Here is a 22,669-nt window from a genome sequence, read left to right as displayed (position 1 = left end):
TGGCAGTTTGAGGGGAATCCCCGATTTTTACTTGTTTTCTCTTTTTTCTCTCCTGGTCCTGCCTCTCAAAGCAGTGTCAGTTGCTGAGCTGTGTTGCCACGGTTGCGATGGCAGCAGTGACAGTTCCGCTGGCCAGAGGAAGCCAGGGAAGGGCCCCATGGTCTGAAGAGTGTGGGGGCTCCCTTGATCTCTTCCATTTTCTCTCACTGCTTTGCCTGCAGGGTGCCCTGGCAGTGCAGACCTCTGCAGCAGCACATGAGGATGCAGCGGGCAGAAACGCAGGCTTTGCAGCCAGAGGGTTACACAGAAAGGCCCATGGGAGCTAGACAGTGTCAGGGGAACCCAGAGGGAGGAAGCTGGAGAAGGGAACCCCCTAAGTTTGTGGTGTGAACCTGTACATATTTTGGGCTCACCCCAAACTGCATGCACAAAAGAGATTCAAAGGAGCACAGTAAAGGCTCTGATAACTGAACTATGGTGCAAACCCCTGCCATGTCGAGACTAACCCCTGAGGGGTGCACCTGCAAGACACACCCAAACGACATGCAACCACTGCTTATAGAAGGTGACAGAGAATTTTCAGACCAGACCCAAACTGCCAAAACAAAGCGATGCTCTAAAAGTTTTAACAAGACACAGTGTACTAGTTAGCTCTGGCTGCCATACAAAGTACCCCAGACTGGGTGGCTTAAACAGCAGAGATTTACATCCTCACAGTCCTGGAGGGTGGACGTCCAAGATCAAGGTGTCGGTAAGGCTGTTTTCTTCTGAGGCCTCTCTCGTTGGCTTGCAGGTGGCCACCTTCTCCCTGTGTCTTCACATGGTCTTCCCTCTGTGCATGTCCGTGTCCTAATTTCCTATTCTTATAAGGATGCCAATCATACTGAACTAGGGCATATCCTAGTGACCTCATTTTAACTTAATCACCCCCTTTAAAGACCCTATCTCCAAATACACTCATGTCTAAGGTATTGGGAGTTAGGGTTTCAACATAGGAATGGTGGGGTTGAGGGAGGGGGCAACAACTCAGCCCATAGCCCCCAGCATCTCACAACATAATATTCAAAACACCCAGAATCCAGTCCAAAATTATCACACCTCAGCACTTCTCTCTTGGTATAGAAAGAAATAGGAAATCAACAAGGACACAGAAGACCTGAATGTCACCATCAACCAACAAGATCTAACTGACGTGTACTGAACCTTCCACCTGACAACAGAATGCACGTTCTTCTCATGGGCACGTGAAATAGTCACCAGGACAGACCATATCCTGGGTCATAAAGCAAACCTTCACAAGCTTAAAGGAATCAAAATCCTATGAAATATGTCTTCTGATCATAATGGAATTAAACTAGGAGTCAATAACAGAAAGACATTGGGGAAATCTCCCAAAACTTGGAAGCTAAATCACACACTCCTAAATAATCCATGGATCAAGAGGGAAGTCTCAAGGGAAACTAGCAAATATTCTGAACTGAGTAAAAGTGAAAATACAAGTTATCAGCACGCATTGATGCAACTAAAGCAGTGCTTAGAGAAAAATTTATAGTACTAATTGTTTATATGAGAAAAGAAGAAAGGTCTCAATTTAATAATCTAAACCAACCTTGTCCAACCCACAACCCACGGGCTGCATGCATCCCAGGACAGAATGTGGCCCAACACAAATCCATAAGCTTTCTTAAAACATTACTAGATTTTCCTGCATTTTTTTTTTCTCATCAGCTATCATTAGTGTTAGTGTATTTCATGTGTGGACCAAGGCAATTCTTCTTCTTCCAATGTGGCCCAGGGAAGCAAAAATGTTGGACACCCCTGATCTAAACTATACCTTAAGAAATTAGGAAGAGGGGAAGATTAAATTAAACCCAAAGCATACAGAAGGAAGGAAATAATAGAGATAAGAACAAAACTCAATAAAATTGAAAACAGAAACAATAGAGAAAAATCAGTGACTCTACAAACTGGTTCTTTTAAAAGATCAATAACAATGATAAACCTCTCGCCAGGCTGAGCAAGAAGGGAGAAAACACAAATTACCAATATCAGAAATGGAAAAGGGATATTGCCACAGATATTACTGACAGCAAAAGGGCAGACAATAAGGAATTACTGAGATAATTAAAAACAACTGCATACCCATAGGTTTGACAATGTAGGTGAAATGAATCAATACCTTAAAAAACACAAACTACCAAAACTTACTCAAGAAAAAAAGATAAACCACACAGTCCTTATAGCTATTAAATAAGTTAAATTTTTGGTTAAAAATCTTCTGGGAAAAAATCACCAAATGATTTTATTGAAGAATTTACCAAAAATATAAAGAAGAAAAATACAAGTTGTAGACATTCTGTTCCAAAAAATAAGAGGAGAGAACATTTTCCAACTCATTTTATGGAACACTTCCCAAATCATCTTAATGAGGCAGCATTACTCTGCTAACAAAATCAAAGACATTACAAGAGCAGAAAACTGTGGATCAATATCTCAATTGAACAAGACAAAAAGTAGTCAACGAGATATTGGTAAATTAAATCCAGCAATATATAGAGAAGATAATGCAAAGCATTCAAATATTCAACATCCAAAAAAAATCAATCCTTACAATTCATGCCACACTGACAGAACTATGAAGAAACAAAACAATCATATCAGTAGATGCAGAAAAAGCATTTGACAAAAGTAAACATCCACTCATGATTTAAAACTCTTAGTAAACTAGAAATAGAAGGGAACTTCCTGGATCTGATAAAGAACATCTAGAAAACAAAACCAAACAACCTATAGCTAACATTATACCTAATGGTGAAAGAGTGAATGCTTCCCTCTACGATCTAGGAATACGAGAGGATGTCTAACCTCACCACTCCCATTCAAAATCACACTGAAAGTTTTTGCCAGTACAATAAAGCAAGAAAAAGAAATAAAAGTCATATATATATAGAGATGCCTTATATATAAAGAAGACATAAAACTATCTCTAATTGCAGAAGAAATGATTGTCTATACAGAAAATCTCAAGGAATTTCCAAAACATCATATAACTAATAACTGAATTTTGAAAGGTCATAGAACACAAGGTCAATATTAAAAGATCAATTGTGTTTCCACACTCAAGCAACAAACAATATGAACTTTAGCCAAAAAGCACCATTTACAACAACACCAAAAAATAAAATACTTAGCCTAGATCTAACAAAATACGTGCAGGATCTGAATGCTGAAAACAACATACTGATGAAATAGCAAAGAAGATCTAAATAAATGGAGAGAAATACTATGGTCATGAAATCAAAGACTCAATATTGTTAAGATGTGAATTCTCCCCAGATTGATGTAAAACCTCAATGCCATCCCAATGAAGATCCCAGCAGGAATGTTTGTCAATGCCAACAAGCTGATTCAAACATTTATTTGCAAAGGCAAAGGACTAAGCATAATCAAAACAATTTTGAAAAAGAAAACAAATTTGGTGAACTCATGCTACTGTATTTCAAGACTTACGATAAAGCTACAGTTATCAAGACAGTGTAGTGTTAGCAAAAGGATGGATGCATACATTAAATAGAGGGTCCAGAAATGAGATGCACATAATATGGCCAATTAATTTTTGAAAAAATTGCAAAGGCAATTCAATGGAAAAAGGATAGTCTTTTCAACAAATGATGCTGGAACAAGTGGACGTCAATATGCAACAATATATAGAGAGACAGAATATGTGAACTTGGAACCCAATCTCTTACACAAAAATTACAAAACAGCTGCAGCAAAAAAAAAAAAAACTCATGCCTTATACAAAAAACTCAAAATGGATCTTAGACCTAAATGAAATCATAAAACTATAACACGTTTAGAAAAATATGTTAAGAGAAAAATGTCTGTAATCTTATGGTAGGCAGAGTTATTAGATCCAACATCAAAAGCATAATCCATACAAGAAAACACTGCAAACTGGATTTTATTAAAATTAAAAACATTTTCTCCATGAAAAACACCATTAAGAGAATGAAAAGACAAGCCACAGGCTGAAAGAAACTATTTACAAATCATCTATCTGACAAAGAACTTATAAGTAGAATATATAAAGAACACTGAAAACTCAACAATAAGAAAACAACCCACTTTGTTTTTTCCTTCAACTTCTATTTCAAGTTCTGGGGTCCATGTGCAGAAGGTGCAGGTTTGTTGTTACGTAGGTTAACAAGTGCCATGTGGTGTGCTGCACAGATCAACCCATCACCTAGGTATTAAGCCCGGCCTCCATTAGCTATTCTTTCTGATGCTCTCCCTCTTCCCACCCTTCCCAACAGGCCCCAGTGTCCCCCATGTGTCCACGTGTTTTCATAGTTCAGCTCCCACTTGTAAGTGATAACATTCAGTGCTTGGTTTTCTGTTTCTGTGTTAGTTTGCTGAGGATAACAGCTTCCAGCTCCATCCATGTCCCTGCAAAGGACATGATCTCATTCCTTTTTATGGCTGTGTAGTATTCCATGGCATATATGTACCACATTTTTTTATCCAGTCTATCATCGATGGGCATTTGGGTTGATTGCATGTCTTTGCTCTTGTGAATAGTGCTGCAATGAACATACACATGCATGTATCTTTTTAATAGAATAATTTATTATATATTCCTTTGGGTATAGCCCCAATAATGGGATTGCTGGGTCAAATGGTATTTCTGCTTCTAGATCTTTGAGGAACTGCCACACAGTCTTCCAAAACGGTTGAGCTAATTTACACTCCCACCAACAGTATAAAAGCATTCTTTTTCTTTACAAACTTTCCAGCATCTGTTGTTTCTTGACTTTTTAATAATCACCATTCTGACTGGCGTGAGATGGTATCTCACTGTGGTTTTGATTTGCATTCTCTAATGATCAGTGAGGTTGAACTTTTTTTCATAGGTTTCTTGGCCACATGAATGTCTTCTTTTGAGAAGTGTCTGTTCATGTCCTTTGCCCACTTTTTAATGAGGCTGGAAAACAACCCAGTTTTAAAAATAGGTAAAAGATCTGAACAGCTAAATAGGAGATATGTCACTGAACAAGAGATATATATACAGAGGGCAAATAAACACTTGAAAAGGTGTTCATCATCATTAATTAGGGAAATGTAAATTAAAACTACTATGAGATAACACTACACATCTATCACAATGGCTAAACTTAAAAAAAAAACCTGATGTTCCTAATTTCTGATGAGAAATTGGAGCAACCAGAACTCTTGTACCTTGCTGTGGGAAGCAATTATGCAGCCATTTAAAGAAAGCAGTTTAGCCAGTTCTTACAAAGTTAAACATATGTTTATCATATGACCCAGAAATCCCACTCCTACGTATTTACCCAAGAGGAATAAAAACTGGTGTTCACCAAAAACCTGTGTGCAAATGTTTACAATAGCTTTATTCATAGCTGCCCTACACTGGAAACAACGCGAATGACTTTCAACTGGTAAATGGGCAAACTGTCTACATTCACCCAATATAATCCCACTTGGCGATAAAAATGAACAGGTTATTGATGTCCGCAATGACACGGGTGAATCTCAAATGCATTAGGTTACACTGAATGAAGCTATGTGGAAAAGGCCATTTAGATGGTATTCTGGATGATGCAAAAAACAATGGGGTGGACAACAGCAGAGACAGGGATGTGTCAGGTAGTGGGTGGTTGACCGCAAGAGGCAGCAAGAGGAGATATTTTGGAGTGATGGAAAGTTCTAAATTTTTATTGTGGTCATGGTCACAGGGTTCTGTGCATTTGTTACAAGTTAGAGAACCGTATCATCCCCTCCACCAAAACAATTTTCTGGTATGCATATTAGCAAGTAAATCAAAAGCACACCTGGGAAGGAGACTGCAGCATTTGCTCTGAGCCAGGCACTGTGGCAAGCCCGGCGTTCACCATTCCATGCAGTCCTCAGGGCCCCTGGGAGGTGGTGGTGGCCTTCCCACTGCACAGACTCAGCTGAGGCCCAAGCACCCAGGGTCAGGCTGGACCCCAAACCACATCTGCCTCCACGTCCCAAGCTCTTTCTACAGCGCCAAGATTTTACTGCATATATGACAAAGGTGCTTGGCAAATCGAGACTCAGTGGACCTCAGCCCATAGCAGAGATCACTGTGGTGTTTCGACAGGCCTGCAGAACATGCGACAACTCTCCTGAGGAAGTGCTCGGAAGGATTCTCCAACAGCGTGGGCACGGCTCCCTGAGTCCCAGGCCTTTCCATTCATATCCCCCACCTTAACCCTGATGGCCATTCCGACTTGGAGGATCTCTTGAGCCCTGCATGACCATTGTGGAGTCTGAGTAAGAGGCAACTCCAAAAAGAGCTTCTCCCTTCACACCAGGTCTCCCTTCACCTCTCTGTGAGGCCACATTCACATGGCTCTCCCAGGCATGCCCCAGAACTGTGCTGAAGCTCAAGCTGATTGATTTCAGCAAAAGTCCTTTGTGACGAAGGCCCAGGGCTGGACAGGCACAAGGCGATGTCCACCAGCCCTGGCAGGGCACCCTGTGTGCCCCACCTCCCTGCAGCTGTCTACACTCCCCCTGGGGCTGGTCTTCTGCTGAGACATCTGGGGCTTTCACTCACCACAGAAGGGGGCCCAGCTTCCCGAGGTTGAGTGGCACCATCCCTCAGGGTGGCAACAGGCTAGGTCCACAGGCTGCCATCTGAACCCCTTCAGGAGAGAGGGCTGGGACTGTGGCAAGCTGGCCAAAGACTGGGGATCCCCAGGGGGCAGTGTGTGTTCACGGCTTAATTGGGGTGACAGTAGTAGCAATGATGGCAATCAGAACACTTGAGTTTATGCCACCAAATCCAGGGAAAGTGGAGAAGAGACTGGCTTGCTTGCATTTCACTATAGGAGAAAGACTCCTGGTGATGAAGGCTTGAAGGGAGACATGGGCAACAGAGGAAGAGTGAAATGGTTTGGCTGTGTCCCCACCCAAATCTCATCTTGAATTGTAGCTCCCCAAATCCCCATGTGTTGTGGGAGGGACCTGGTGGGGGGTAATTGGATCACGGGGGCAGTTACCCCCATGCTGCTGTTCTCGTGATAGTGAGTGAGTTCTCACACAATCTCATGGCTTTATAAAGGAGCTTTCCCCTCTTTTGCTCAGCACGTCTCCTTCCTGCCATCATGTGAAGAAAAACGTGTTTGCTTCCCCTTTCGCCATGATTGTAAGTTTCCTGAGGCCTCCCCAGCCATGTGGAACTGTAAGTCAATTAAATCTCTTTCCTTTATAAATTACCCAGTCTCAGGTATGTCCTTATTAGCATCATGATAATGGACTAATACAAACCTCATTGGATGTTGCTTCCCCTTCTCAGCACATCACCAAAGGCTCAGAGTGAGCTCAGCGGTCTCTGCAAACTGCATACAATGATCGATGACCTTTACAGTGTGGCAGTCATTAACTCACAGTGGTTTAGCTGCCTTTCAGAGACCCTACTACCCTAGGGATGGAGAAACTAAGGTGATGCAGGTGCACCCCATGAGGACACAGGGCATGCAGCTACTCCCCTGCACACCTTCCATTGGAATCTTCAGAACTGCCAATGACTCTGGTGGGGTAATTTCTATCCGTGCCTTTAACAAAAGGGGATGCAGAAACTGCCTCTAGAAAGGGTTAAGCGATTTGCCTAAGGTTAGTCCCTCAGCTAGCAAGGAGTAGAAGGGGTCAGTGCAGTGTGTGTGTGTGTGTGTGTGTGTGTGTGTGTGTGTGAGAGAGAGAGAGAGACTTCATCTACCCTGGCAAATGAACCTTTGCAATCCAGTTCAAATCAGAATCTGGGTTTCCTGGGACATGCTTCAAGTGTCTCCTCCTCCCTAAGGACTTGCATTTCTACAAACCTGGCTCCAGTTTTATCTGCCATGGGCTTCCTCAAGGAGAGAACTTTAGACGGTGCAGAAGGAGAAGAATGAGGCGGTGATAGGTAACCGTCTCCAGAAAGGGAAGGCTGGGCTGAGGTCAGCTCCAGTGATCCAAGGGAAGGATGGCTACCTGGCTCATGAGACACTGAGGTGGGCAATCAATTATTTAAAAAGTAAACAACGAGGTAAAGAACGTAGGACTCTAGGCACCTAGATTTAATTACCAAGAAAAAGGGACAATTCCAAGGGGCACAACCTGAGTGCCCTCCACAGCGGAAAACCCTCATTTGTCCACAAGGCTCCTACTTCATAGGCTCTTGGTTTAGCCTTGGCTACAAGTGGAGGTGAGGTCTGGGGATGCATTTCAGTAAATCTACCTGGCTTAGTACAAAAGTCGGCCCCTCTTCCTGGGGCAGGGCTCTCCGATGTGGAATATTAAGTGGAAGCAGGACAACAGCATGCTCTGTGAATTTCCTCCACGGGGTCTTGGAAGGCCCTGGAAGAAATGCTAATGAGCACAGGTTTGAAGACTTCTCCTTAGGGAGATGTCTGTGCCAAGAGCATCAAAATAAACTTCCAGGCTGTAAAAATAAAGGTTGGTTGGTGTTTGCTGGGAAGAAGGGATCTCAAAGTAGAAAGCCATCCTCTCCAAAATAATACATGTTGAGGTCCTTTAAAACTTAACAAAAAAGCAGGATTTTGTGGCATGCATTTCCACATCATCAAGGCCCTCAACTCCATTACATAAGTAACTCATGGAGGTCCCTGGTCAGATGTCAGCCTCTGAGTCCTGGGCCTTTGAAGCCAGTGCAGGAGGCTGAAGCCTTCAAAAGCCTCCTGCCTGCCCAGGCTGACTGCGCCAGCTCCAAACTGGGCTGCCAGTTGTCCAGCTTCATGCACATCCCATGCCTGCCCTGGCTAATCATGGTGTGCCTCACAGGGAGGTGGAGGTGGTGTCTTCCCACCACACAGGTATTATAACTGAGGCTTTGATAGTTTAAATATTTCCAAAGAACCAGAAACTAAATTCAAATTGCCTGAGTATCACGGTATACTTTGCAATATTCCAGGATTATAGAAATCAATAGTCTCTACCAAATCTGTGTTAGTCCGGGTTCTCCAGAGAAACAGAACCAATAACATATATATATATATATATATATATATATATATATATATATATATATATATGAACATAAACAGAACCAATAACATATATATGTGAACATAAACAGAACCAATAACATATATACATATATATATATATACATATATATATGAAGAGATTTATTATGAGGAAGTGGCTTACACAATTATGGAGGCTGAGAAACCCCACCATCTGTCACCGGCAAGCTGGAGACTCAGGGAAGCTGGTGGCATAATTCAGTCCTAAGTCCAAAGGCCTGAGAACCAGAGGAGCTGAGGGGGTAAAACCCAATCCGAGAGCAGAAGACCAATGTCTCAGCTGAAGCAGGCAGGCAGGAGATAAAAGTGGAGAATTCCTTTTTCCTTCTCCCTCAGTGGACTGGTTGATGCCACTCACATTGGAGAGGATCATCTGCTTTACTGGGTCCATAGATTGAAATGCTAACCTCATCCAGAAACACTGTCATGGACACACCCAATCTGGGCATCCCAGGGTGCAGCCAAGTCGACACTTTAAATGAACCATCACGGTCCTCTGGTGCTCAGCACAGCCCCTGGAGCACAGCACATGCTAAAGGTGACAAGAGCTAATGGGCGGAACTTTGCACAGAAGCCAGGTGCATCGGCTTTTGCTGATGAATGTGGCCAAGCTTTCCTCCCAGGGGTAGTAAGCGGCTGCTGCTCCCTACATGGTCCGTGTGCTCATCCTGAGGGAGGCAGAAATAGAGAGCTCCAAAGAGTCCCAGCTTTGGTCTCATCTGGAAGTGAGAAATCCTTTTCTACTCCCTGTAGAGGGTATCAGTGGGTGGGGTCTGCCTCTTTCTACAGACAGGGAGGCTGAAGGCTGGAATCAGCGCCCACGAATCTGCAGTGAGTGCCCGCTGGACGGGCACGGAGCACCCCGCCTAAGATCACTCACATCACACACCTGGGAATGGCATCCAGGCCTTCTCCAATCCCCAAACCCCAAAGGCTTTCTCATTAACTTGCCCAGCCCTGCAACACGTTGAGGTGACATCCTGCAGAGAACTGGCCTCCAAATCTGGCCGTTTTGCTGAAAAAACATAATCTGCTCTTTCATTAAGCTTTCCAACACACAGGGAGCTACCGAGCCTTTCTGTGCTGTTCGCCCACGCAGGGTGCAGTTAAGGGAAAGATTTGCTACTGGGTATCAGTACTTGCCACTCTCCTTGACTAATGTTTCCATGCTGGAGAGTCTTCAATTTACAATGAGGTGGATGAAATAAAAATGAAAGCTAATATTTATTGAGAGCCCGCTATATGCCAGATATGGGCTGAGCACGTTACAGGCATGATTGGGTTTTATTATCGCAACCCTATGAGGTGGGTACTATCGTCACCCTTGTTTGACAGGCGAGGACACAGGCACACATAGTAAAGAAGACATAACTCTCTCTGGAACCCCTATAAGTGGCCACCTGCATATGCTAACATTGAGCAGGACAAAGAGGGCTGCTTTCTTCCCTCAAAGAGCACCTAAGCTGGTGGAAGGTAGAGGGCACGCCTACAGCACTCCAAGTGTGACCAGGCACAATGACACTGGGACCTACACTGAGTGCATGCTAATTTTTTTTTTTTTTTTAGGCGGAGTTTCACTCTTGCTGCCCAGACTGGAGTGCAATGGCCTGATCTCCGCTCACAGCAACCTCTGCCTCCTGGGTTCAAGCGATTCTCCTGCCTCAGCCTCCCGAGTAGCTGGGATTATAGGTGCCCACCACCACGCCCAGCTAATTTTGTATTTTTGGTAGAGATGGGGTTTCTCCATGTTGGTCAGGCTGGTCTCAAACTCCCGACCTGAGGTGATCTGCTCCCCTTGGCCTCCCAGAGTGCACACTAATTTTTAGAGCAATGTTCATGTTTGTTGCAGTGCCTCCCTTGTAAGCAGTTTACCACTGTGCTATCTTTCTGGTTCAGTGGAAGCTTTCAAAAGGGGTCCCACCCAGAGCCCAAGGATGGCAATGGGTTCAGGTCCAGTCCCCTGCAGTGGCCACACTGGCTTTCCTATCTCCCTGTGAACTGATGTGCCAGGTGTGCTCACGCGGCCACCTTGCTGCTGGCGCGACTGCCTTTGACAGAAGTGCTGGCACGCTGCTGCCTGCAGGTCCCTCTATCTATGCTCACTTCCTCTCCTGAGCCCCTTCTGGGCACCCCAGCACCTGGGCAAGGAAGAGCAGTATCTTTTGAGTAACAGCTGCTCTGAGACTGGCTGCTGTAACTTCATGGTGTCCCCTCATTTTCACAACAGCTCAGCATGAGATAGAGGTTTGGAGCTCAGAGAGGGATGTTCATTTCCCTGAGCTGGCACAGCCCATACGTAATTGATCAGAAATCAAACTCTAGATCTACCAACTCCTAACCCTCCTCACTCCAGGTTGAATTAACAGCTTTCTCTATTGGGGTCTTACACTAATTTATTCCTAGAACTGACAAAATATTTATTACATTACATTATATTTACTACATTACATGTATTATAGTACATTCTATTATATTACATTACAATATATTATGTTATGTTACATTATCTTATAGTTAGATGTGTACTCACATTACATTATAGTTAACTGTGTACTTGTCTATTTTTCTTAGGGACTGTGAGCACTTGTAGGATACGGGTTGAGTCTAACTTCTCTTTGAATCCCGGTGCCTAGCACATCTACTGACATAGAGCAGATGCTAAAAATATTTTTTATTAAAAAAAAAAGTTTACCCAAACAATTGCTGTGCACTGAGCTACTTGATGTAATATATACATGGTGGAGGAGCTGGCTCTATTTTCTGTGTGTCCGACATGCCTCAACCCACAGTTGGACCCAGGGAAATAAGGATATTTTTGGAAAGCCTGAGAGCATTTCAGAATTAAGAGGAAAAAGCAAATTCACCGCTTCTGAAAGTGTTGCCATAGTAACTCAGCACAACGCAGGGGGAGAAAACGCTGTCTCATCAGAGCACAGCATCTTAGATTAGCAATAATGGAAGAAGCACTTGCCCTGCGGGGACAGAAAGGCTCAGATGGTGTGGTCCAGGGCCCTGGGGACCTTGTCCTCCACGCGCATCCCATGGTCCATGGTGAGAATTCAGGGGACTGGGACAAGCCCCAGAGCCACAGCTTGCATTCAGAGGAGGCTGGCTAAGAACCTTAAGAAGAAACAGCCAAGGCCTGTTTGAGATGCCCCACCTCCCTGGCTGTACCTGAGGAGCTCCTCCACGTGGCTGTGGCTTCCTGAGGTGGGGATAAGGGGGAGGAGGCTGTGCCTCTGTTGGCTCAGCTATGGGAAGTTCAGGCCACTTTCACTGGATCTCAGCGGTCAAGCAAAGCAAGAGGATGGGGAGTTTAAAAATTTTCCCTTGGGGAAGAGCTGGCAAAGGTTGCCATAAATTAGTATTTATTCTACCCCAATTAACTCGATAGCATCTTTGAAGTGATTCAGCAGTGTCATTGGAACCAAATGGGCGTCCCCTGTGTGGGTCAGCAGCCTCCTAATCAGATTAAATTCCTTGCCACTGAGCAGAATAAAGTCTCAGGGCCTTAGGAGGATGGGTGGGGAATGTGTTTGTTCAATTGTTATCTCGTTCATTGGCTGAACAGACCTTTTACTGAGCACCTACTACATGCTGGGGGTGGAGGGGGTCAGGCTAGAAGCCAGAGGTACCAAGAAAAAAACTATGTAATCCCTATTTTGGAGGAAGAGAGAGAGAAGGGGAAAGTGGTGGGGGGTGATGAAGGCTAAGAGGAGAGGACAAAAGGAATAAAAGTGAAACTGAGCATCATTCTCCATCAGCGAGCACACGCATACTGGAGTGAAGCGGCGGCCGGGGCAACGGCAAGCCCAGGATGTTTACCTCCCTAAGTGGATCCTTTTGGTTTATTTTTAAACATCCTCTCCTCTATATGGCAAAATTGTCTTCAGTAGTAATCATGGCATGAAACAACAGCAACAAAAGGCCAGATTCTCCACTGGAGATGCACATCGGAATCTCCAGGAGGACGTTCTAAAATGCTATAGTCTCCTCCAACCAATGTAGCTCTCAGGGGAACACACTGCACCCTCCTCCCCAGGGGCACCTGTATGAGCAGAAGAGGAAGGCACAGAGGTGGCCATCCTGTGCCAACACAATCCGGCTCAGAACCCTGCAGCCTCACAGTTATTTCAGTACACCCAGCTGGGTCAGAAGCCAGAGAAAACTCCCCCGACCGCTACACATGATGTCCAGGAAGTCACGTCAAAACCCCCTACCTATGTATGGGAGGAAGACAGCACACTGGGTTAGGAAGAAAACAGGGCCAGAGAAGCTAAGGGAGGTGGCACCATGTGTGTGCACAATCCCTGCCAACCAGCAAAGCCTGTTCAACAGAGCTGGCCAGAGCGGAATCCCAGCATGGAAAATGCAAAATGCCAGGAGAGCAAATTAAGATGAGGACGTGACTTTTTTATTTTTTAATTTTTTTAATTTTATTTTTCCATGAGTTATTGGGGTACAGGTGGTTTGTGGTTGCATGAGTAAGTTCTTTAGTGGTGATTTGTGAGATTTTGGTGCACTCATCACCCGAGCAGTAGACACTGCACCGTATTTGTAGTCTTTTATGCCCCCTCTTCCACTCTTCCCCCAAGTTCTCAAAGTCCATTGTATCATTCTTGTGCCTTTGCATCCCCACAGCTTAGCTCCCACATACCAGTGAGAACATATGATGTTTGGGTTTCCATTCCTGAGTCACTTCACTTAGAATAAGAGTCTCCAATCTCATCCAGGTCACTGCAAATGCTATTAATTCATTCCTTTTTATGGCTGCCTAGTAGTCCATCATATATATATATACATACATATACACATATATATACACATATATATGTGTATATATGTGTATATATATACATATATGTATATGTGTGTGTGTGTGTGTGTGTGTGTGTGTGTATATATGCACCCTAGTTTCTTTATCCACTCGATGATTGATGGGCATTTGGGTCAGTTCCACGATTTTGCAGTTGTGGATTGTGCTGCTATAAACATGCCTGTGCAAATATCTTTTTCACATAATGACTTCTTTTCCTCTGGGTAGATACACAGTACTGGGATTGCTGGATCAAATGGTAGTTCTACTTTTATTTCTTTAAGGAATCTCCACACTGTTTTCCATAGTGGCTGTACTAGTTTACATTCCCACCAGCTGTGTAGAAGTGTTTCCTGCTCACCACATCCCTGCCAACATCTACTGTTTTTTGATTATGGCCATTCTTGCAGGAATAAGGTGGTATCGCATTGTGGTTTCGATTTGCATTTCCCTGATGATTAGTGATGTTGAGCATTTTTTCATATGTTTGTTGGCCATTTGCATATCTTCTTTTGAAAATTGTCTATTCATGTCCTTAGCTCACTTTTTGATGGGATTGTTTATTTTTTTTATTACTGATTTGTTTGATTTTGTTGTAGATTCTGGATATTAGTCCTTTGTCAGATGTATAGATAGTGAAGATTTTCTCCCACTCTGTGGGTTGTCTGTTTACTCTGCTGACTGTTCCTTTTGCCGTGCAAAAGCTCTTTAGAATAATTAGGTCCCAGCTATTTATCTTTGTTTTTATTGCATTTGCTTTTGGGTTCTTGGTCACCAAATCCTTGCCTAAGCCAATGTAGGGACGTAACTTTTGTTGTTCCTCAAAAGGATGCCACATGGCTGGGTGTGGTGGCTCACCCCTGCAATCCCAGCATTTTGGGAGGCTGAGGCAGGTGGATCACCTGAGGTCAGGAGTTTGAGACCAGCCTGGCCAACATGGTGAAACCCCGTCTCTACTAAAAATACAAAAATTAGCCCGACGTGGTGGCGTTTGCCTGTAGTCTCAACTACTGGGGAGGCTGAGGCAGGAGAATCACTTGAAACCAGGAGACAGACGTTACAGTGAGCCAAGATTGTACCACTACACTCCAGCCTGGGTGACAGAGCGAGACTCTGTCTCAAAAAACAAACAAACAAACAAAAGGATACCACAGTCCTGTTCCTTGGGTGGACAGTACTTTTCAAGAGGTCAGTTCTTATACGGAACCTCCATCCTATTCACCCTCTGTTCCTGAGGGGATGGCAGCTTGGACAAGAGCAAGGAGGCCTGAGACCCGCCCCAGCTGCAAGTCAACGGCTGCTTCACAGCTCCCTGGCCTCTGCTTACCCAGCTATCAAACAGATATGACGATCCCTGCCTCATCCACCTTCCAAACTCTTTAAAAGCATCAGATGAAAAAATTTTTTTCTGTGATAAAAGTACTGACATCCACTCTTTTTGTGACTCTGGGCAGAGAGGGTCTGTGGTGTGTCTTTGATCCTCAGTGTTTTGCACATAGCAGGCACTCAATAAATGCTCAGTGGCTTGTTTGGGCAAAATCAAGTCTATATTATGCTCCATAAGTAACCTGTTTGTTGGAAAGAAAATCATCTCAGAAACAAGACTGGATTCATCCTGAGAGTATGTAAGGGCACTCCGAAGGCCAAGGAAGAATGTACCTGGCAGCCCAGGAGTGAAGACAGCGCTTTAATCCTCTGTTGAGAAACCTGGGTTCCAGTTGCTGAAATGTTTGGCAAAGGGATCTGGACCACTCCCTAGCGGTTCTGACACGGATGCAGCTCAGAGTGGTGGAATTGCGAGGATGTGAACCTTAGCAGCCGTGAGCAGGGAGCTGGGCAGGAGGACTTTTTCCTAAGAGGCAGGAAATGCCTCCTTTCCAATTGAAACAGGCAGTGCTGGTGTTTCAAATTATTACCATAAAGACACATGTGGAGGGCTGCAATCTCCATGTCAGCTTTTGCAAAAGGCAGGGGAGAGAGAAAGTAGATTGACGAAAGGAAAACACGAAGATCCATTGGTCCTTTTTGTTTTCTTTCTTGATTAATGGGGAGCATTTGGAGCTGGTGATGCTCATCTCATGGTTGAGGGTGAAAGAGGACTAGGGGTTCAGGCCAGGGTGCAGTCAGGCTCTCTCTCTGGTAGCATAGCCACACATCCAGTCCTTCACTCCAAGCCCATTTTCTTTACCTGACCTGTGGTTCAACACCCTAGTGGGCAGACTGTGGAAGGTTCAGAGAAGACATATGCACATGGCAGGGACTCGATCCATGGAGCGACTTGCTGGAGAAAAGCCATGAGCAGACAAGAAAAGCTGCCTGCAAGGGCTTTTGACTTCAACATGAGCCAAAGGACCGGACCAGCTGGATAGAGGGTTTATCCTCAGAAAGTTTGACTAACTCCTCGTTAAGGGGGAATGTGGTGACTGAGATAGAAGACAAAATATTAGAATAATTGTTCTGTTGAGCATTTGTAAGAAAGCTGTGGAATTATGTTGAGATGTTTGTTTATTTATTTATTTATCTATTTATTTATTTTTAGAGAGAGGGTCTTACTCTGCCACCCAGGCTGAATGCAGTTGTGTGATCTTGGCTCACTGTAGCCTCAAACTCTTGGGCTCAAGCAATCCTCCTGCCTCAGCCTCTCAAGTAGCTGAAGCTACAGGCATGCACCACCACACCCAGCTAACTTTTTATTTTTTGTAGAGACCCGCCCTGTCTGGTCTCCAGCTCCTGGCCTCAAGCCATCCTTCTGCCTCAGCCTCCCAAAGTGCTGAGATTACAGGTGTGAGCCACTGCACCTGTCCTGAGATGTTTATTTCTTTAAATATTGCCCACCCAAAGGCACATGATGGCAAATTAGTGCTACTTAAAAGAAAATACAATAAGTTAAACCCACAGAGAATCAGAACCCCAGTGAATCATATCTGCCACTGCAGACGTTCATCACACACAGCTCTAGCTCTGGTGGTGGGCTCTCCAGGCAGCCACGTTTGCTGTTTGTCACACACACAGTTAGCTCCTTAAATGAACCTATGAACTAAAATAAGGGGTGCGAATACATGCCCAATGGCAGTAGATAACACCAACCCCAGCTACTCCAACAGGGAGAAGGTGCAGGAACAAAGAGCTGGGCCATCTGCACCCCATGTCTGACTTGGCTACTAAGGAGCTGTGTGACTGTGAACTAATCCCTCACCCTCTCTGGGCCTTATCGTTCTTATCTCTAAATGTGGGTAATGAAAATATTTCCCTCCCTGAGGTGCTGTGAGGACTTCTTGAGCTGACAGAAGAAAAGCCCTGAGAATGAGGCCCAGTGCATGGTTTTAGGCACAGAGCCCAGCACCAGGGAAATGGTAATTTAATAAGCTGCCATTGTGTTTAGTTTTAGTAGCATTAGTAGTAGGTGATGGTCGTGGCATTGTCTTTGTTTTTACTATTTAAAGATGGTGCATGTTCTGGGAAGGACTTTTTCAAACTTGAGAATTATGAGCTTACTGTTTTCCTTCCTATTCAAAGGTCTATGGCAAATACACAATGGGCTATGGAAATGGGCAGGGATGTGTCTCAGGGCTCAGGGAACCCTTTACCCAGACCCTTCCCATCTCAGCTCCTTGGATGTTTGGCACGGGAGATGTGGGATTTATTCCTCTTTAGACAGATGTGTTTGCTGGATTTGCTGATGCTGGGCTGAGTCCCTGGCACTGGGCACGGGTGGGAGAGAAGAGGCCTCTGGCCAAAGCATAGAGGTGAAGTTCCTGCCTCTTTCAGGCATGCAGCATGGGAATTGGGGGTGGCTGAGGAGGAAATCAAGTGAATGGGTGAGGCAAAGGAGAAAGACAGAGTGGGGAAGGACACTACTCTGTCAGGGAGCTGAGCCCTGAGTCCCCAGATGGTAGCACGAGAATGAGGGTGCAGAGGATAAAAAATCTGCTGAATAAACTCAATATTCTGTTTAGCCACTCAAGCAATGAACATGCACGGCACTGGAACTCTACACATCATAAAGCACATCGCAGCTCACTTGGCTGGTCAGTGGTCACCGTGCCAATAGAACAGCTGTCATTCCATTTTTACTGTTGCAGAGATGGTAGCTGTAGGGGGTCACCTTTGCAAAGATCACACAGCCAGTGTGGGGGCCAGCAGAGACCTGGGCCTGTGACACCAATCCCACCTCCTTCATTTTCTGTGCAGAATCAACTTCATACCAGCCCTGTGTCCTGTGCTGGGGAGCCACACAAGAACCAGCCGATCAGCTCCACAAATGACAATCTAGCCGATAGGGAGGGAGAAGTCCTCAGGAATGCTACAAAAGGGCACTGGCCACTCAGAAGAAAGGACAGTGTCTTAGCATGTGGGATCCAGGCACCTGGCTTTGTGGGAAGGGGATTCTGAATCCAGCACTGAAGGAGGGGAGGGGGGCATCCCAGGGACAAGGCACTGAAAATTTGGGGCACCACTATGGGGAGCTGCATGTGTCTCAGCCTGACTGGTGTGGGCACCAAGAAGATGCATTTCGGGCCCAGGCCTAGAGATGGGGTCTGCTCATGGGAACAACAGTTGGCCCAAGGACCTGGCACTGTATCCCATGGATGGAGGAAGCCACAGAAGACCCTCAGCAGGAGAAAGCTCCCTCTGGCAAGAGTGAAGAAAGGAAACAGATCAGGAAGCAACTGGAGACACCCCCCAGGTGAGAAGCACCTGCAGTCGTCCAGGGAGGAGGAAAGGCGGGACCAAGGGCTGAAGCAGTGGCATGGGAGTTTGGATGGATGTTACTGGGTCAAGAAATACCCAACCCAGCTAGGGCCCCCCCAGCAGACACTACTGCCAGGTTAAAGAATATCCTATGAGCTATGCTGCCATGTGACAAGTGAGCACAGCACAGTGGCTGACAGCAAGGATGCCCAAACATGACCTGCAAATCCCCCTCTGCCACTTGCTCCCTGTGTGGCTTGGTGACATAACCCTGGGGCTTCAGTTTCCTCATCTGTAGAATGGGAATGATGAGAAGTGCTGAGAGCAGTGCCTGGCCCTTCATGAGTGCTCAATACATGTCAAGCTGTGTCATTACTATCTGTTATATTTGCAAAGCTGTTTGCACAAATTACCACATCCAGTGTTCAAAATAAACCCATGGGGCAGGTTTTTCATTTTGTTTTGTTTTTTTGACAGTGTCTCATTCTGTCGCCTAGGCTGGAGGGCAGTGCTGCAATCATGGCTCCCTGCAGCTTCGACCTCCTGGGCTCAAGCAATCCTTCCACCTCAGCCTCCTGAGTAGCTGGGACTACAGATGTGCACCTGGCTAGGCTAATTTTTTAACACCACACTTGGCTAACTTTTTTGTAGTTTTTGTAGAGACAGAGTCTCACTATGTTGCACAGGCTGGTCTTGAACTCCTGAGCTCAAGCAATCTGCCCGCCTCAGCCTCCTAAAGTGCTGGGATTATAGGCATGAGCCACTGCGCCCAGCCTGGGGAAGGTAATCTTGAGCCCCTCTTCAAATATGCAAACAGGCTCAGTCATGACTTTCTCGGGATATGCAACCAGGCTCTGGCAGAGCCAAGACTGGGGAATCAAAGCCCCTTGGGCAACCTGTGGCTACCCTGCACAGGAGATAGCCCCCGAGCTGTTCCCAGCCCTGCCAGTGGCAGCCCTACTGCTGCAATGCTGTAGGAGGCACCTGGGAGAGCTGGGCCAGGCAGGGAAATCTATGGATCCTTCCCATTCTCTGTTTGAGATGCATCCTGTCTGATCCATGAGCCCAGGTGGCTGCTGCTTTCTGCTTGAGGGCACAGACTCGTGGATGCATTTTCCAACATCACTTTTAATCTTCCCAACATGCCTGAGTGTCTGGCTGTGTGGGAAAAGCCACAATGTTAACTTCAATTAAAAACTGTTCTCATGCCTCTTGCTTTGCTTGAGATGTTCTCAGCATGGGTGAAGGATTGGAGTCTTTCAAGATGTCTCCAGCAAGAAGGTAGATGATTAAAACCTTCCCCGGGAGGCCTGAGATGGTGCATAAGTATAAATAAGCCAATGTTCACAAGATTCTTAAAAGAAGGGGGAGGTGAGTTGAGGTGGGAGTTAGGGAAGAGGGGAGGTAGAAATGGCATCATTAAGGATCTTTATTCCAATGGAATAAAATAGCATCAGGTCACAGAAGGCAGTTACTTCCAGGAGCCACAAGTTGTGTTTGTGAGTAAGTTGGACACAGACAGAGGTGTACAGTGACCGAGTGAGGAGGATGTGCCTCACGAAGTGCGGGCAGGGAGGAGAGTGGAGACCCTGAGCTGAGGAAGTGAGCCATGAGACACAGCACGTGGGAGCCAGGTGGCTGGTTCAAATCTGAGCCTCAGTTGCTTCACCTGAAAATTGGGCTTAATTGTAATCTCGACTTCAGAGCATGGTGGTGAGGCTTAGCTGTGCTGCTCTGTGTAACACGTTCAACGGAGAGCCCAGCACACAGCAAGGCAGGCGTTAGCATGGTCAGTATGGTCAGTTATGGTTATGGTGACTCAAGGGACCAATGGCACCTAAGGTTAACTTCTCCAACCTCCGCGACAGGAACCAAGAGACGTGAAGGAATTTCAGTGCCTCCACATGGTTCTCCACAAAGGATCCAGGGGTGGAGTTGAGCTTCCTTCCAGGTACAATGCAGGAGGCCTGCAGGATTCTCTCCCAGGATGTCTACTAGCACCACGTGATTTTCCTGACCAAAAGTATAAAAAATGGACTCTACTTCCAAGGACCAATAGACATCATTCATCAGCAGGAGGCCAAACAGATTCCACTTTTGCAGAAGACATCACTCCTGCATTGTTTGGCAAAAAGGAGTCTGCTGCTGGGCCGGTTCACCCTGTGTGCCACTGGGGTTCAATGAGCTCCTTCAGCCTGAACCATTCCAGTAGATGCCCTGAGGTCTAATCCTCAGCATCAGAACAGAGTGACAGGCAGCTCCAGCCATTGGAACCGGTCTTCGTTTAGCTTGTTTGTGCTGCTATAACAAAATCCCACAGACTAGGCAATTTATACACAATAGAATTTTATTTCTCCTAGTTCTGGAGGTTAGGAAGTCCAAGATCAAGGTGCAGGCAGCTCTGGTGTCTGCTGAAGGCTTCTCTGCTCTCTGCTTTTGTGCCTTGCTGCTGCACCCTCTGGAGTGAGGAAGGCTGTGTCCTCACAAAGTGCAAGGGACAGAAGGAGTGCATTCACCGCCTCAAGGCCTTTTAGATGGCATTAATCCATTCATGAGGGGGTTAAGCCCTCACGGTCTAATCACTTCCTAAAAGCCCATTTGTTTCCTGACTGGGATAATACCATTGCATTGGGGATTAAGTTTCAACATGAGTTTTGCAGGAGACAAACATTCAAACCACAGCAAAACCCTGTAGGTGTGCCTGTGAGCCCCATTAAGTGTCTGATGCTTGAGTTACCTTCATACTGGCTATAGCCCTGATTAGATGGAGCATACTTTGAGGCCAGCGGCCCTGGTCATTGACAACCCTGGAGCTTGAGAGGGACCTTGAGCACCTACCAAAGTCCTCTGTCAGGTATGGTGACCAGTGTTTTTGCCATACATCACAGAAGGAGGCGTGGGGAGCTGGCACCATCTACAGGTGAGGTGCAGATAAATTGTGTGAGGCTATAAAGAATTTGGACCGGGGTTTTCTGACTGCAACTCCAGGAGTTTTTCCATCTCCCCATGAAATAAGAGATCTTAGGGTCTACCCACTCAACCTGCATTTTGCAGACCAAAAAAAACAGAAAATAGTGCAACGTCATCATAGGCACCATTTCCTGGCCAGCCTCTGCACACACATGGCCTTACCTAATCCTTACACCTCCACGAGCCAGGAGAGGTCATTATCCCCACTTTACAGTAGAGGAAACTGAGCTCAGGAAGATGGGTGATGTGCTCAAGTCACCCAGCTGGTTTCAAACTCGGGATTCAAACCTAAGTCAGTCTGATTTCCTCTGAAACCCTTGACCACTATGCAGTGCTGAGTTCCTCAGCGGAGCCCAGCGAGAAGGAGGAGGTTCCTCACCACTCTCCTCTCCCTAAGGTCGCACAATGTGAGAGCAGTATTGTCAAGGCCAAAAAGGCCCAGCTGACCACCCTGACCCCCTTGCAGGCCGCCCTGGGCAGTTCTGTATTCCCCAAGCCAGAAGCTCACAGAGGGCCATGTCACGTGAATGCTGAATGTACAGCCAATTGCTGCTGCATGCCACCAGCATGCTGAGTGAGCTGCAAGAGGCTTGCAAATTGTCTTGCTTTTTCTAATAAGTTCCCTCTGGGGAGCAGCTAGAATGGCCTACACCGCATTCTGAGAGGCTCAAGCTATCCAAATTGCATCATAAAGTCTTTACTGAGCACCTGTCCCTTGCAGGAACATTCCAAACATTTCATGTTTTTTATCTCCTTTAATTATTTCTTAAATCCCAGGGGGTGGGTTCCTTGTAACAAAGGACACTGAGGCTAAGCTTAGAAAGTACCACCCAGTCCCAGAGCCTAGGTGCGACCCGGGCTCTGAGATCTCTGCTCCAAGCCTTGCAACACCAGCTACCCAGGTGATTCTGCCCCACTTGGCAGGGAAGAAACAGGAGCCAGAGGACTAAGTCGGGGAGGGATAGTGAAGGAAAGAGATTTAAGTGGTCAGAAGGATGGGCTCTAAATCACAGTGATCTTGGCCCTGCTGCCTCCTCTCCATGGTCTATTCTGTACCAGGCACGGTGAGGAGGCTTCATGAACACTACTTCAGAGAGTCCCTTACAGAACTTCTGGA

At 45.7% G+C, this 22,669-nt stretch overlaps 1 protein-coding gene across 4 annotated transcripts in view, besides 3 other annotated features; it reads right to left on the bottom strand.

Moving 5' to 3' along the window:
* The window catches only part of C14orf132 (chromosome 14 open reading frame 132), a 54,610-nt gene that overhangs the window by 15,635 nt on the left and 16,306 nt on the right, over positions 1 to 22,669 (bottom strand). The window lies entirely within an intron of this gene.
* Positions 180 to 229: an enhancer, noted in NCBI's record as "active region_8982". NCBI's record gives its function as "activates an Ori minimal core promoter by ATAC-STARR-seq in GM12878 lymphoblastoid cells {active_cell/tissue: GM12878}" and the evidence as "EXISTENCE:reporter gene assay evidence [ECO:0000049][PMID:35858748]".
* Positions 15,452 to 15,629: a silencer, noted in NCBI's record as "fragment chr14:96529045-96529222 (GRCh37/hg19 assembly coordinates)". NCBI's record gives its function as "represses an EF-1alpha promoter that drives an FKBP-Casp9 reporter gene in an ReSE screen in K562 erythroleukemia cells {active_cell/tissue: K562}" and the evidence as "EXISTENCE:reporter gene assay evidence [ECO:0000049][PMID:32094911]".
* Positions 17,801 to 17,954: a silencer, noted in NCBI's record as "fragment chr14:96526720-96526873 (GRCh37/hg19 assembly coordinates)". NCBI's record gives its function as "represses an EF-1alpha promoter that drives an FKBP-Casp9 reporter gene in an ReSE screen in K562 erythroleukemia cells {active_cell/tissue: K562}" and the evidence as "EXISTENCE:reporter gene assay evidence [ECO:0000049][PMID:32094911]".

Source organism: Homo sapiens, chromosome 14 (assembly GCF_000001405.40).
Source record: "Homo sapiens chromosome 14, GRCh38.p14 Primary Assembly".
Taxonomy (NCBI): Eukaryota; Metazoa; Chordata; class Mammalia; order Primates; family Hominidae; genus Homo; species Homo sapiens.
Note: the sequence above shows the minus strand (reverse complement) of the source record. Positions and strands in the feature narration are given on the sequence as shown.